This window comes from Homo sapiens, chromosome 17 (assembly GCF_000001405.40).
Source record: "Homo sapiens chromosome 17, GRCh38.p14 Primary Assembly".
Lineage (NCBI taxonomy): Eukaryota > Metazoa > Chordata > Mammalia > Primates > Hominidae > Homo > Homo sapiens.
Window position 1 is genome coordinate 82,114,629 of NC_000017.11, and position 15,762 is coordinate 82,130,390.

At 52.2% G+C, this 15,762-nt stretch overlaps 1 protein-coding gene across 33 annotated transcripts in view, besides 1 other annotated feature; it reads right to left on the bottom strand.

Moving 5' to 3' along the window:
* CCDC57 (coiled-coil domain containing 57) overlaps positions 1-15,762 on the bottom strand; it is a 111,373-nt gene that overhangs the window by 13,159 nt on the left and 82,452 nt on the right. For 25 of the 33 annotated variants that reach the window (NM_001367828.2, NM_198082.4, NM_001394669.1 and 22 more), the window contains 2 exons: positions 13,865-13,969; positions 13,064-13,280 (listed from right to left, as the gene is read on the bottom strand). In NM_001367828.2, coding sequence (NP_001354757.1) covers positions 13,064-13,280; positions 13,865-13,969 — 322 coding nt within the window. Of the gene's footprint in view, positions 1-11,680; positions 13,281-13,864; positions 13,970-15,762 lie in introns of those variants that run through there. The other 8 variants (XM_047435770.1, XM_017024462.3, XM_047435776.1 and 5 more) reach the window with 4 other exon arrangements.
* Positions 2,241-3,148: an enhancer, noted in NCBI's record as "H3K4me1 hESC enhancer chr17:80074745-80075652 (GRCh37/hg19 assembly coordinates)". NCBI's record gives its function as "activates a minimal SCP1, AML or CMV promoter by ChIP-STARR-seq in naive and primed H9 embryonic stem cells {active_cell/tissue: H9 hESC(naive and primed)}" and the evidence as "EXISTENCE:reporter gene assay evidence [ECO:0000049][PMID:30033119]".

The following is a 15,762-nucleotide window of genomic DNA, read 5'->3' on the forward strand; positions in this document are numbered from 1 at the left end:
GCTCGGCTGTCACGATCCCGTGCTCTGTCTTCTCAGTGGCGAGGTGTGGGAGTGGAGACACGCTCACCCACAGCCACTCCACCCCCAGGCGTGGTCCCACTGGAGCCCACCAAACCTCTAAAATTGTAAACATGACTCTTAGCTGGAGGGCCACCTGTGGGGCAGGAGTGTGCCATGATTTGGCCCATACTTTGTTTGGATTTACTTAGTTGCCAATATTTTGAAAAGGAAACACTTTATATATAAAAAGAACAGGATTTCCAGCCTCTCTCAGAAAAATGGGAAGACAGGCTTGTTGGCCCCACACTGCCATGGAGGGCGGCCCTGGGGTGGCACTGACATGGCCTCAGAAGACCAAGCCCGCCCGCAGGGACACCACTGCCCCCACTCCACGAGGCTGGCAGTCACCCTGTGCATGGGCACCTAGTACCTTCTCTGCAGAGGAGGCTCTGGCCTGGACTGGATCCAGGGCTTGGATTCAGATCCTGATTCCACCAGCTGGGGCTGTGTGACTTTGGACTTGGCCTTCATCTGAGCAAAGAGCCCCAGCCTGCGGCAACCACTGGGGCCGAGCAGGGCAGTCACTGGAGCCCTGTGTGATCTCCAGCGGAGGCTCCACCAGCATTCGGGCTGTCCGGGAAGAGGGGGCAAGAGGGGGCAAGAGGGGGCAAGAGGGGGCAAGAGGGGGCGGCTTTTGTCCTTCTTTCCCTTTGGATCTTTAGATGAGAAAAGCCTGGCTACAAGGTGTCTTCAACACACAAAACTGCCCAGAAATGCTCTAATTCTACAAACAGTTTAAAAAAATTAACCGAGTTAGCAGCCAGTTAACAGAATTATGCGACCTTAGGATACATTTTATGGGCCAGGCATGGTGGCTTACGCCTGTAATCCCAGCGCTTAGGGAGGCTGACATGGGAGCATTGCTTGAACCCAGGAGTTCAAGACCATATTGGGCAACATAGTAAGACCCTGTCTGTACAAAAAAAGTTTTTAAAAATTAGCTGGGCATGGTGGCTTACATCTCTGGTCCCAGCTACTCAGGAGGATGAGGCAGGAGAATCACTTGAACCTGGGAGGTGGAGTGAGCTGAGATCGCACCACTGCACTCCAGCCGGGGCGACAGAGGGAGACTCTGTCTCAAAAATACAAAAAATTTATGCAACCTTTTTTTTTTTTTTTTTTTTTTTGAGATGGAGTCTCACTCTGTCGCCCAGGCTGGAGTGCAGTGGTAAGATCTTGACTCACTGTAACCTCCACCCTCCGAGTTCAAGCGATTCTCCTGCCTCAGCCTCTGGAGTAGCTGGGTTTACAGGTGCCTGCAACCGTGCCAGGCTAATTTTTCTTATTTTTAGTAGAGATGGGGTTTCACCATCTTGGCCAGGCTGGTCTTGAACTCCTGACCTCATGATCCACCCGCCTCAGCCTCCCAAAGTGCTGGGATTACAGGCGTGAGCCACCGCGCCCGGCCACAACCTTTTTTTTTTTTTTTTTTTAAAGTAAACATCTCAAAATCTGTGGAGAAACAAATATAAATTTCAAAAGAACAAATTTTTTAAAGAAAAAAAAAGCCAGCATTAACATGGGACACCCTTTAAAGTTGTGACCATTTTTGCTCCTAAACCATCCTCTGCAGCTGGAGAGTGGGGTGGGGAGTGAGGGTGGGAGGCAGGGGGGCCTCCACCTAGAAGAAAACAAAATCACTCACCTCCGACCCACCCACAGGGTGCATGGCAGGGACCGCCTCCAAATCCCACCCCCAGGGAGCGGCCCAGGGGCGGCCCACTGAGCCCTGGCCCCAATCTTGATGAGGCTCTACATGGCGGCCCTACCCACTTCTCCTATGCAGTCTTCCCCACCCCCACAGCACAGCCGAATTCCTCAGAAGCTCTGGCCAAGCATCTCCTCTGACCCCAGGACATGCTTGGCCCTCCCCCTGCTCTAATCAGACAAGTCCCTTCCAGAACTCCAGGGTGCAGAACAAGGGCTGGGCCTTGGGACCCTCAGCTATGGGATCTGTGGCCATGTAGCGTTGGGCCTCATTTCTGCATTTGACAATGGGATGGTAGTAGCTGTACAGCCTTAGCCTAAAGACCTGAGCACAGGTGAGACACCAGGTATGGTGTCTGGCACTTAGTAGGCACTCAACAAATACTCGAGGAAAACACACAGAACCATTCCCATTATGTGTATCTGTAAACCAGGCTTGCAGCCCTCCCTCTGGTCTCCAGTCTAGGTCCCCCCACAGCAGGGCCCTCTCCGGAAAGCTCCTGTCTCCCTTCGAGTCCCTGACTTTCAGAAGTCACAACAAACGCCCATTTTTCTGTTGCTAGCTTTCCTAGTCCCCTTTGAAAAGGACAAAAATGTCGACAACACATAAACCACATATAAGATGGCCAATTGATAGGAAAAATGACCAACCTCATCATTTAAAAATGGCGAATTGGGCCAGGTGCGATGGCTCACGCCTGTAATCCCAGGACTTTGGGAGGCCGAGGTAGATCACTTGAGCCCAGGAGTTCGAGACCAGCCTGGGCTAACATGGGGAAAACCCATCTCTACAAAAAAAATAAAAAAATTAGCGAGGCATGGTGGCGCACGCCATAACCCCAACTACTCCAGGGGCTGAGGTGGGAGGATCACTTGAGCCCAGGAGGTGGAGTTTGCAGTGAGCTGAGATTGCACCACTGTACTGGGCGACAGAGGGAGATCCTGACTCAAACAACAACCAGGCAAATTAGGCCAGGTGCTCATGCCTGTAATCCAGCACTTTGGGAGGCCAAGGTGGGAGGACTGTTTGAGCCCAGGAGTTCGAGACCAGCCTGGGCAACATGGCAAGATCCTGTCTACAAAATGTAAAAAATTAGCCAGGTGTGGTGGTACGTGCCTGTGGTCCCAGCTACTTGGAATGCTGAGGAAGGAGGAATGCTTGAGCCCGGGAGGTTGAGAAGCCTGGGAGGTTGAGGCTTTAGTGAGCCATGGCTGCGGCACTACACTCCAGCCTGGGCGACGGAGTGAGACTCCATCTCAAAATACATACATAAAATAAAATGGACTAGAAAAAAAAGGCAAATTAAAACCAATAATGAAGTATCAGTTTTGACTTATCAGATTGGCCAACAAACAAACAAACAAACAAACCATTTGCTAAATCCACCAATACTGAGTGAGGAAAGGTGCCTCACGCCTGCAACCAGGAGCAGGGGGCCAACGTCCTGGGGGCAATTGGGTAACAGCGCTCAGAACTCAAACTGACCCTACCTTTGACCAGCTATTTCCCTTCTGATCTAACAGCAGCCTCTGTGAGCACGCAGGGCACACGCACAGGAGGTTCACTCTCTTAAGAGCTAAAAACGACAGGCCGTCCAAGTGTCCACAAACATCAGACACCAAAACAAAGGGAGGTGAGCCGATGCGGCGGCTCACAAAACTACCAGAAAGATCTGTCGGCTCTGTGTGTACTGACATAAAAAATACTGCAGACATAAATAAAAAAGCAAGCTGCCCCCACGATATGCAATTGACAAGAAAAGAGGATATACACATATATTTAAAAAACCACTTCTGTTCTGAGGGTGGCTGGGGAGTCTGGAGGGGTGCAGGGGGACTGGGCAGTTGTGGCCTGGTGGGTAGGGACTGGGAGGGAGTAAGAGAAGAGGGAGAAGGAACACAGTCCACTGAAACCCAGTGTGGTGTTATCCATTAGCGCAGGACTGAAACCCGATGTGGGTGTTATCCATTAGCGCAGGACTGAAACCTGATGTGTTATTCATTAGCGCAGGATGCCCCACGCATCCGGAGATGGGGTTTGGAACATCCTTTGCCCCAGCGAGGTGCGAGGTGCTCCGGAACTTGCGGGGCTTAGCTGCCCACACACGTGGGACAGACTGTTGGGTGGCTGGTCCCTGTACCGGCTCCTGAAAGGACATTTGGGCACTTGATACACACCCATAAGGTGCACTCTAGGGAGGTGGAGGCAGGCCTGCTGCAGGGGGTCGGCTTCAGAAGCAGGTATTTCTTTGGGGTGAGGTCAGACATCTGCCTGGGTGCTTCTCTGGAACTGCCTTAGGGAGAGCTTCCGTCCGCACTGGGTGCCACTCAGTCTGCCGCGCTTTTTATGTACGCTGACTTTTGTTGTGCTGCTGAAGAATATCTTTCCAGTTTGATGATTTTTCAGGTAAAAACACTACCTTAGAAATCTGTGATTTCTTCACCCGTATCTAAGGTTAACCCTCTTCCGGCCATTTGTAAATACTCCATTCTACTTCTGCGTATTTTCGTGGTTTGCCTTGGAGTCCCTCCCTCGCCCTGGAATGCCTGGTAGTGTGTGGTCCCCGTGAGAGGAAGCGGAGATCAGAGTAAGCTGTGTTCCCACCCTGCCAATTGCTGAATGGTTCTTTCTTTCCTTGGCTCCTGGAGAACAACTACATTCTTATCTACCAGGCTCCACTGAGCGGGCGGGAGGTGGGGGCGGGGGTGGGGGTGGGAGTGGGGGCAGGGGTGGGGGTGGGGGTGGTGAGAAATTAGTCGTATTTTGATTAGAATGACACTACAGATTACTTTACTTTGGAGAAAACTGCTGCCTTTGTATATTTAATGCTTCCATCCAGGAAGTGTCATTTTTTTAAGCCTCAAACATTTTTTTGGATAATGCTTGGTAGTTTCTCTAGCATTATCTGAGACTAACATCTTCTGAGACTCCTGGGTTTTGTAGACTCGGGGCCTCCCATGCTCCCATCCCTCACAGTTATCTCCCTGTACGTGGAGCAGACAGGAATCAAGGATCATGCCCCTGCACCTGTGGGTGCCCCCCCACCCCTGTGCACCTACGGGTACCCCACCTGCAGACCATGCCCCTGCCCTCCGAGACATTCTGAAGCAGACCGATAGAATCAAGTTTAGGAAGAAAAATGGCATGGCCTGGGGCTGGTGCAGGAAGGAAGGAAGCTGGATGGGGGACAGGTCTCTTGGGCAGCCTTTGGAGGAGGCAGGTGCTGGGCAAACAAGGAGGGTGCCTGCAGGTGCTGCAAGGTCTGCAGGTGGGGTACCCACAGGTGCACAGGGGTTGGGGGGCACCCACAGGTGCAGACAGGCTGGAGCTGGAGTGCAGGTAGCTGGGGGAAGAAGGGAGGGAGATGAGGCTGGACGTGCTGGGCCCCAGCAGTCTGTGTGGGAGACCTATCTATCTGAGGCTGTCATAAAAACGCAGGTGAGAGAGGAGGCTAGGCTTGGAGGTGGGTCCTCCAAAGAGCCGCATCCAGGGTGTATGGGGGAGCCCCGACTCCAGCCAGCTGTTCCAGCCTCAGAGGTTGGCCGTGCCCTGGGACGGGGTGACTGCTGGGTCTGGATAGGTTGGCAAAGCAGGGCTGAGGACATGAGCAGGAGGGTGGTTCGGGGCCTATCCCAGGTCCAAGAGGAGTATGGCTGTTCAACACAGCTGTGTGACGTCGTGACTAAACACCATATCCTACAATAGTCGTTCATGTCATTAATTTAGATGCCACTAAATTGTTAACTATTTCAGTATCATTTCATTATTATTATTATTATTTTTTTTTTGCAGAGATGTTGCCCAGGCTGGTCTTGAACTCCTGGGCTCAAGTGATCCGCCCACCTCAGCCTCCCAAAGTGCTGGGTTTACAGGCTGAGTCACTGTGCCTGGCAACATTATTACTTTAAACTCCAATCATGACTGTGTAGTGTGCATACTCTGTTACCCACAATGCATGGAACACGTTTAAAAAAGAGGAGGAAACTTCCTCTCCGTTTCTAGAATGGAGCTTTCAGACTGCTTGTCTGGCGAGCGACTGCCGAGCTGCGCTCTGTCCTAGTGTCGGTGCACTGGAGGGCGCAGTGTCGCATCTTAACCAGAAACCCGGTGCCCTTAAGTGGCACCCCTTACTTCACCAACGCAGTTTCCAAGGTTTTAAGGAAAGTATTCTTACATGAAGTAAAAATATCACACAGATAATTCAGTTAAGCATGCTCAAATATTCAAAACACAAGGAAAGCATCAAGATACTTCGCAGATCATTAAACAACTCAACTGCATGAACCACTTTAGTCTTTTCCTAAATCCTTCACAGGGTGAATCAAAAGCCCCATGGACTTATGCTGAAACGTATCTTTCTTGCTTGCTTTTTTTTTTGAGATGGAGTCTCACTCTGTCGCCCAGGCTGGAGTGCAGTGGTGCAACCTCGGCTCACTGCAAGCTCCGCCTCTCGGGTTCACAGCACTCTCCTGCCTCAGCCTCCCAAGTAGCTAGGACTACAGGCGTCCGCCACCACGCCCGGCTAATTTTTTGTATTTTTAGTAGAGACAGGGTTTCACCGTGTTAGCCAGGATGGTCTCGATCTCCTGACCTAGTGATCCACCCACCTCGGCCTCCCAAAGTGCTGGGATTACAGGGGTGAGCTACCGCGCCCGGCCTCTTGCTTGCTTTTTAATTGCAACACCGATGCTAAGAAATACCAGCCGTTGCCAGGCATGGTGGCTCCCGCCTGTAATCCCAGCTACTCAGGAGGCTGGGACAGGAGGATTGCTTGAGGCCAGGAGTTCTAGCCCAGTCTGTGCAACACAGTGAGACCGTGTTTCTAAAATAAATAATAAAGAAAAAATAAATACCAGCCACCCTGTCTCAGCCTAGGGAGGCAGGGACATGGCAGGGCCTGCATCTGGCCACCTCCTCCACCTGCTGAGGCCCCCAGTGCTTCCCCAGCTTTCCTGCCAAGAGGCCCCAGTGCTACTGAGCTGCAGGCAGCAGGCTCTCGAGGACATGACCTCACTCACAGGGCTCAGGGTCTAAGACTCTGTTAAGACAGGCGCCTGGAGCCGGGTCATAGGGAGGCAACATGACCCCCACAGCCAGGAGATGGACAGCAGGTCTGCTGAGGGCTCTGGGCAGCTTCTCCCTCCCTGATTAAAAGAAAAAGATTCAGGAGAGAGAGGCCCTTCACCTTTTGGCCTTCTCAGGGGATGGTGGGAGTGTCTGCAGCCATTGCGGAGCCATTAGGAGAAAAGAGAATCCCAGAGGGGCCACCTGAGGCCCGTTGACCTGGGACTGAGGGCTCCGATGAGCTCCTGGGCCTCAGTCAGCGCGTCCTGCCATGGGGCCGTGCATGCCGCCTGCTGAGACCATTTTGGGCACTCAGGATATGGACCCCTCAGTTCTCTCCTTATTTTAGTGAGGCGTGTCATTTTCCACAGTTACCACGAGGAGATAAAGGCCGGGAAGCTCTGGTTCACGTCACTTTCATATCCTGTCCTGTGACTTGTAGCTAAAAGCATCTTAACTGATCCACACCAGCCCGCCTTCCCTCCCAGGCCACCCACACTCTCAGCCTCGGTGGACGTGTGCTGCTGTGTCAGGAACGCTCCTTCCTGCAGCACGGCCTCGGCCCCAGGTGACTCCTGTGGTCACCAGCTCCCTGGTCTCACAGAGAGCTTGGTGGCCCTCTTCACTCTCTCCCGGATCTGCTTCCTGAGGCGCCAACCCACCATTTTACAACCCACTTTCTCAAGCCTCCTACACCGCTCCTTCCTCCTTCAGAGCCTGTGGCCGGCCTCGGGCTCTCAGCCTGGATGCTGAGCATGTAAGAGGAAATGAAAGGAATCTGCCAGAACCGTTTCCCACCACCAGGCCAGCTGCTGGGACCAGGGACAGCCTCCCTGGGGCCTGTGCACTCCCGCACGGTGGAGGCTGCCCTGGCCACTGCTGCAGACCCTTTGCAAGGGCGTCTGTCCAGCAAGCAGCTCAGAAGTCGGAGCAAGCATCTCCCTCAGGCCCAGGGCAGGTGCTTGTGGCGCTCTAGGACTCGGAGGGCAGGTGCTCGTGGTTGCTCTAGGACTCGGAGGGCAGGTGCTTGTGGTCGCTCTAGGACTCGGTCCCCAGGCCTGGGTTCCTCAGCTGAGATGCATACCCACTGCACCTGCAGCCACTGCCTGCCCAGCTGCCTGCTATGTGGACAGAGCCCTTGGTCTCTGACCCAGGAGCCTCCTGTCTCCCGCCAGGCTTGCTTGTCAGCTTGCAGGCTGGGCAAGTGCACAGCACTGGCTGCAATCAACCTTCTGGCTTCGGTGCCCACCTCTGCCTCTGTCCTATTAAAGGCCAGCCCTGCACACGGGCACCGAGCCCCTTCCCCTGCCTCCTCCAGGACTTCTCTCCTGAGTCATCCCATTTCCCACTGCCTACCGGCAGGCTTTACATGACAGCTTGTGAGCCTCCCCTCTTGACTCCACATCTTCATAAATACGGCCTCTTTTCACTGCTGATTTTCAGAGCAAAGTTTCTTGGATATGTTGTCCATCCCATCTCCCATCCTCTCCCCAAGCCGGGAAGGATTGAATGAAAATTCTACTACCCCCCTGAGACCACACTTAAGACCACCAGTGACCTTCACCTTGCAAAAAAGCAGGGGCTGCTTCTCTGTCCTGACCTAACTGGACCTACCTGTAGCGTTCCACTGCACAGTTTAACCACTCCTTCCCTCCTAATAACTTTTTTTTTTTTTTTTTTTTTGTAGAGACAGGGTCTTGCTCTCTCACCCAGGCTGGAGTGCAGTGTGTAATCACAGCTCACTGCGGCCTAGAACTCCTGGGCTCAAGTGATCCTCCTGCCTCTGTCTCCCAAAGTGCTGGGATTACAGGCATGAACCAGTGTGCCCGGCCCTTTTTTTTTTTTTTTTTTTGAGATGATGTCTCACTACATTGTCCAGGCTGGTGTGGAACCTCTGAGTTCAAGCGATCCTCCCACTTTAGCCTCCCCAAATGCTGCAATTACAGGAGTGAGCCACCGCCCGGCCTATAGCAATTTTCATGTCAGACAAAATAGGTTTTTTGGTGAAATACAACATGAGGGGTTATGAGGGATGTTACATACTGGTAAAGGGAGGAAAAGATCAAGAAGGCAAAAAACCTAAACATGTATGCACCTAACAGCGAACCTCAAAACACATAAAGCAACAATTGACAAAAACAGATAGATTGATAATTGTAGTTTAAGAACTAATATTTCCCTCTCAGAAGAGTTAACATCATAGTAATTTAATTCTCTGACCAGAATGTAAAAATATTAGAAATCAGTAACAGACAAAAAAATAAAATTCCACAAATCTAGAAACTTAAGGAAAAATTCCATTTAAGTTAAAGCAAAATGAGTTGAGTTATAAGTCCTACAAGGGAAAGACAAGGGAAACATGAGGATGTTGAGATTTATGAGACATGGTTAAAGCAAAGCAACGCTTGGAGGAATATGCATTTCTTTGGCTGCATTGGTCAGAAAACAAGACAGATTTCAGACTTGAAGAAGGCATCATGAAGCTAGCACTCCTCCACTATCCTTGTAAATCATCCAAAAGCAAAAAAAAAAAAAAAAAAAAAAAGATAATGAAAAGCAAAAATGCAAACTTCATTTTCATTAAAACTAAGAGCTAGAATTGGTGGTGGTGGCGGGGGCTACCAAAGGCTGCAGGAACTCGGCAAGGGCTGTGTCAAAGACATACAGATGCCTCGTTACAGACCCCAGAAAGAGCAGAGGGCATTTCTCTAAGGCAAGGGTACACCCTGAGGGTAGGACCTAATTCCTTGTTTCAGGAGTAGGAACATGGGCTGGCAGCAAGTGCTTCCCTGACCTTGTTCCGTTCCTGGAAGAGAGGAGGGAGAGTGAACCAGGAACAGAACAGGCCCTATCTGCAAAGTGCAGTATCTGTGGGGAAAGGGAAGAGAGAAGCTGTATCAGCTGTTAAAAGCCTGATAGGTGGAGACTTGTATTTAAAGCTAAAATCAACGACACGACTCTGCTGGGCTGGAAGATGGTTCTGGCTTCATTTTCCATACAAACTTTTTCAAATAGCTAGTCAAGTAAAAATTTACCTGTTCTAAAGATGAGGCCAGGCACGGTGGCTCATGCCCGTAATCCCAGCACTTTGAGAGCGTAAGGTGGGAGGATCACTTGAGCCCAGGAGTTCGAGACCAGCCTGGGCAACAGAGCGACACCTTGTACCTACAAAAAACTAAAACAATCTTAGCTGAGCGTGGTGGCGTGTCCCTGTGGTCCCAGCTACTTGGGAGGCTGAGGTGGGAGAATCACTTGAGCCCAAGAGGTCAAGGCTGCAGTGAGCTGAGATTGCCGCACTGCACTCCAGCCTCGGTGACAGAATGGGACACTGTCTCTAAAAAGAGAAAAAGAAAAAAAAAATGAGGGGGGAGCCAAGAAACGAAAGTGCTCCAAGAGAAAAGGAGAAAGGAAACAAGCAAACGAATGAACACGAACGTCTCCAGAAGAACTTTCCATTGAGTTGATGAAAATTTGGACAAAATGTTTTGTGGTGAATTAAAAATGCAAGGAGGCGGTGCCCCTAAGAATCCTGAGCACAGAGGAGAGCCATGGAGTGCAGGTGGGAGGGTCAGGAAGACGGAGTGGGACGCGGCTGCGTGGAAGACAGAGAGAAACGCGCCACATTCGTGATGCCAGCACTGGAGCACACGGGGAACGGAAGCCACACAACCCCATTCCTTCCTAAGGCAGAAGGGAAGCTGCGTCAATCCTAAGAACACTTACAATAGTGTTTGTGGGGAGGGGCTGGGGGAACCAGACTCAGACAAGCCAAGTCTAAAAATTATATACAAAAAAGGCCGGGCATGGTGACTCACGCCTGCAGTCTCAGCACTTTGGGAGGCTGAAGCGGGAGGATCGCTTGAGCCCAGGAATTTGAGATCAGCCTGGGCAACATAGGGAGACACCATCTCTACTAAATTTTTTTTTTTTTTTGAGGCAGAGTCTCATTCCGTCACCCAGACTGGAGTGCAGTGGTACAATCTCAGCTCCCTACAACCTCCACCTCCCAGGTTCAAGTGATTCTCATGCCTCAGCCTCCCAAGTAGCTGGGATTACAGGCATGCGCCACCAGGCCCAGTGAATTTTTGTATTTTTAGTAGAGACGGGGTTTCACCATGTTGGCCAGGCTGGTCTTGAACTCCTGACCTCAACTGATCCACCTGCCTTAGCCTCCCAAAGTGCTGAGATTATAGGCACGAGCCACTGCCTCCAGTCCTCTCTCTACTAAATTTAAAAAGAAAGAAAAAAGAAAAAACAAATACATGCAAATAACCAAGAAAACCCTGAGAGAGAAGGATAAAGAGGAGATCCTACATCAGCCAGACATGTAAAAGGACCAGGAAGTGACACTGATTCTGACCCAATGGAACTGCCTGTGAACAGACTGAGAGTGGCCGAACGAACCGTCCGGATATAGCTCCAAAAGCACATGGAACATTTAGCACCATGACAAAGGTGGGAGTCCGAATATGCGGGAAGTGTGAGCGATGGAAAACTGGGAGCCGTTGCCACTTTGGGGGTTAATAAGAAGTGGTTCTGGCCAGGCACGGTGGCTCACCCCTGTAATCCCAGCACTCTGGGAGGCCGAGGTGGGCGGATCAACTGAGGTCAGGAGTTCGAGACGAGCCAGCCCAGCATTGTGAAACCCCGTCTCTACTAAAAATACAAAATTAGCCTGGAGTGGTGGCGGGTGCCTGTAGCTCCAGCTACTGGGGAGGCTGAGGCAGGAGAATCATTTGAACCCGGGAGGAGGAGCTTGCAGTGAGCTGAGATTGCGCCATTGCACTCCAGCCCGAGCAACAAGAGCAAAACTCCATCTCAAAGGAAAAAAAAAAAAAACAGACAAGATAAAAAACAAGGACATTAAATTACATAAAAATAAAAAATATGAACATAAAAAAACACCATAATAAACATTTAAAAACATGAAGAACTGGGAGAAAACATTTAAATTGTTGTCACCGAAAAGGCCTAATTTCTATCACATATAATGAGCTGCTACAAATCAATAAGAAAGACCACAATCTAATACACAAATGGGCAGGTAACTGAAGAACAGGGAAAGGAAGTGGCTCCTAAACACACACGAAGATGCACGACCTCCCAGCAGAGGCGCTGATGCCAATCCTGCTGCCACCGGCAAAAGTTCCGTGTGGCTACAGGACTCTCAGACACTGCTGCTGGGAGCAGCCTCTGGGTGGGTGGCGGAGGCTGAGGCGATGCTGTCCACCACACGTGGCACGCGGGCAGCCTTGACTACGCAAGCCCCTGGGGCACGTACACGTGTGTTTTCACACACACTGCAGCCTGTAAGGTTACTATTCTAACAGTATCTGTGACGGTAAAGGACTGGAAATAGCCTAAAATGCGCATGAAGGAGAGAATGATTAAATGAATGAGGCACACCCTCATGACGGAAGACAGAAGCTGTAAGGTAAGAAGGGGACGCCCTCCATGCAGGCACACAGGAAGGACGCACGCTCCCGCCCCAACCACATCACACGTCCCGCAACTCCAGCTGCCTCGAAGCAGCATCTGTTTCCCTCCCCCCTTCTCGCTACATCACAGACCCATGCAGTCCTCACAAGGTGCACCCTTCAAACAGACTTTTCTGAAAACTTCCTGAGACCAGTAGCAGGAGCTGGCACTGTGACCTGCTGAGTTTACCAGGCCTATGACTTAGGTGCAGAGAAGAGTCTCAGGGCGGCAACGTCCGCGCAGCAAAGCAGGACGAGGATGAGGATGCGGCTGACACTTGTCTGGCCCGTGAGGCTGAGCATCACTGGGGTCGGCCTGGCTCTTCCCCGGGAGCATCGCTGGGGTCGACCTGGCTCTTCCCCAGGAGCAGGGCCGTCTAAAGTGCACCAATGCCCACGCGTCTCACCTGGGCTCCATTCTAAGTCAGCCTGCGCCCGGGTGTACAGTGCTCCATTCTAAGTCAGCCTGCGCCCGGGTGTACGGTGCTGCATTCTAAGTCAGTGTGCGCCCGGGTGTACGGTGCTGCACTAGGAAATGGCATGGTTTCTGCCCTTCAGGGCTTTGCACCATAACCCGGGAAACACTCAGGTGCCAAATGAGAGGTAAAGAGACTCCATGCATTACTCAACCAAAGTGCAGGGATTTCAGGGTGCAGGAGGCACGCAGGGTGCTGACTCTCCACATGCCCCTCGGAGAGGGTGGCCCTCGCCAGCTGCCAGCTGTGGGCAGCTCCTGGGGAGGGCAGTCTCCTACCTGGAGTTGAGTCACCCTGGGAGGTGACACCAGAAGGGCTGGATCCCAGGTCTAGCAACCTCCACATGTCCTGGAGGGTGCCACTGGCAAAGGAGGAGGAGCTGTGGGATTGGCGACCATGCTCCTCAGGGTGCTGGGGAGCCTGGGGTGGCTTTGGGGACCTGTCTTCTTTCTGCCGAGGTGATTTACAGGTCACCGTGTGGATGCTGTGTTGTGTCTAGAAAAGACATCATCGTCTTGAAAGCCACCCTCTCCAACCCAGAGGAAGCCACAGGACTCCCCCCAACCACTCCCCTCGGAGCAGTAAGGCGACAGTGGGCCTGGCTTAAAGGCCCAGGCAGATGCTCCCAGGATCACCCAGGAGAGGCAGCTGCAGACAGGGATGCATCCGGGGAGCGAGTCTCAGCGCTGGGAACGCTGAGTGTGGGCAGGGCCTGAATCTCAGTGCTCGTCTCAACACTTAAATGACAAAACATGTCTAGGGCAGAGGCTGTTTCGTTTCGATGGGGAATGAGCTGAAATGCAGGGCAGATACCCTGAGGGGCACAGAAAGGAAAGGCCAGCGTGGGCCCCATGTGCTTTAGGGGTCCCGGGGCCCTCCTAACACTCTTACCACCCTTGTGGGACCACCCGGCAAACGCTCTGCAGCTCACCCTGCCATTGTGAGCAGTCCCTGATGACGGCACAAAGGCAGGCATGCAGAGCGAAGGCCCCTCCGAGAGGCCCAGAGCACCCAGGCCCCGGCTTCCCTGCTGGCCACACCCCACACAGCTGCACTTGCTCGGGCGCCGCCACTCTCACCTTCGGGCCTTGCAGGGCGTCAAGTCTGCTGCCCACCTGTGCTGAGCGGGGCTGGTGCTTTCCCAAGTGTCTGGAAGGAGCCTCATCCTCGGCACTCTTGGCGTCCTGCCGTGGGGATTTAAATGAGAGGACTCTGGTATTCACATGTACTGATGGTGCATGTCAGTGAGTTTTCCCACAAGATTGGGAAGAAATGCCTTCCCACATTTCTGGTATTAAAGACTCACACCATTTGGTGACAGCCCGGACTGAAGGGACCTGTTTCCCAGACAGGAGGAATGGAGCAGGCTTCCCCAGTCATTCATTCCCAGGAGCCTTCTCTGCAAGGCCAGGGCAGCCTATGCATGGCCTGCCTGGGGTGAGAGCCCCCCGGCCCAAGATGGACACGAGTGGCCCCCAGTGACACCACCTGGCCGATCCTGCTTTTTTGTTTTTTTTTTTTTTGAGACGGAGTCTTGCTCTGTCTCCCAGGCTGGAGTACAGTGGCGTGATCTCGGCTCACTGCAACCTCCGCCTCCTGGGTTCAAGTGATTCTCCTGTCTCAGCCTCCCAAGTAGCTGGGATGACAGGCACCCACCACCATGCCCGGCTAGTTTTTATATTTTTAGTAGAGACAGGGTTTCACCATATTAGCCAGGCTGGTCTTGAACACCTGACCTCAGGTGATCCGCCTGCCTTGGCCTCCCAAAGTGCTGGGATCACAGGTGTGAGCCACCACGCCTGACCTGATCCTGCTTCTTGAACCCATCACTGGTGCCTCTGCCCGCCCCATGCCTGATGTCTCCCCCCTTCTGGAGGGAAGACTGTGGAAAGGAAGCCAAAAGGGGGCACTAGGGAGCAAACCCTAAGAACATGGAAAGGAAACATGGAGGAAAACAGAAAGGGAAATTCAAAGCAGTGGGACCTGTACAGAGCCATGGACAATAGATGGCCTGCAAGGAGGCTGTGGAACGAGCCCAGCCCTGCCCCTTCCCAGGCACACCATGAGTGTGCCCACAACAGTGGATGCAGAGTGTACTTGGCCCATGTTTACCAACGTTTGCCTGTTCACCCGAGGAATGCACATGCATGAGGTCTGATGTAAGGTCCCTGATGCCAGTGATCACGGGCACAGCCTGATGCTCACTGCCCCCCGGGCTTCGTCCCCAGTACCTTCTGATCAGACCCTTTGCCTGTTTGTCACAGGGTGATTTGTCTTTTTCTTATTGATCTGTAGGAGTTCTTTTCTGTATTTGTATCTTATTTCTTCTCATATGGCACCATTTACTATTAAAAATACAGAGGAACCCCTTGGGAGGCTGAGGCAGGAGGATCACTGGAGCCCAGAGTTCTAGGTTCCAGTGAGCCTGGATCACACCACTGTACTCCAGCCTGGGCAACAGAGCGAAACTCTGTCTCAAAAAATAAATAAATAAAAAATTAGGCTGGGCGCGGTAGCTCACACCTGTAACCCTAGCACTTTGGGAGGCCGAGGTGGAAGAATCCCTTGACTCCAGGAGTTTAAGATCAGCCTGGGTAACATATTGAGACCCCCTATCTGTACAAAAAAAAATTAAAAATTAGACAGGTGTGATGGCACACACCTGTGGTCTCAGCTACTACGGAGGCTGAGGTGGGAAGATAATGTGAGCCTGGGAGGACCAGGCTGCAGTGAGCTGTGATGTCATCATGGCACTCCAGCCTGGGGAGCAGAGACCCTGTCTCAAAACATTTTTTTTTGAGACACAGTCTTGCTCTGTTGCCCAGGCTGGAGTGCAGTGGCGTGATCTCAGCTCACTGCAACCTCCGCCTCCTGGGTTCAAGTGATTCTCCTGCCTCAGCCTTCCGAGTAGCTGGGATTACAGATGCCCACCCCCATGCCCGACTAAGTTTTGTATTTTTCAGTAGAGATGGAGTTT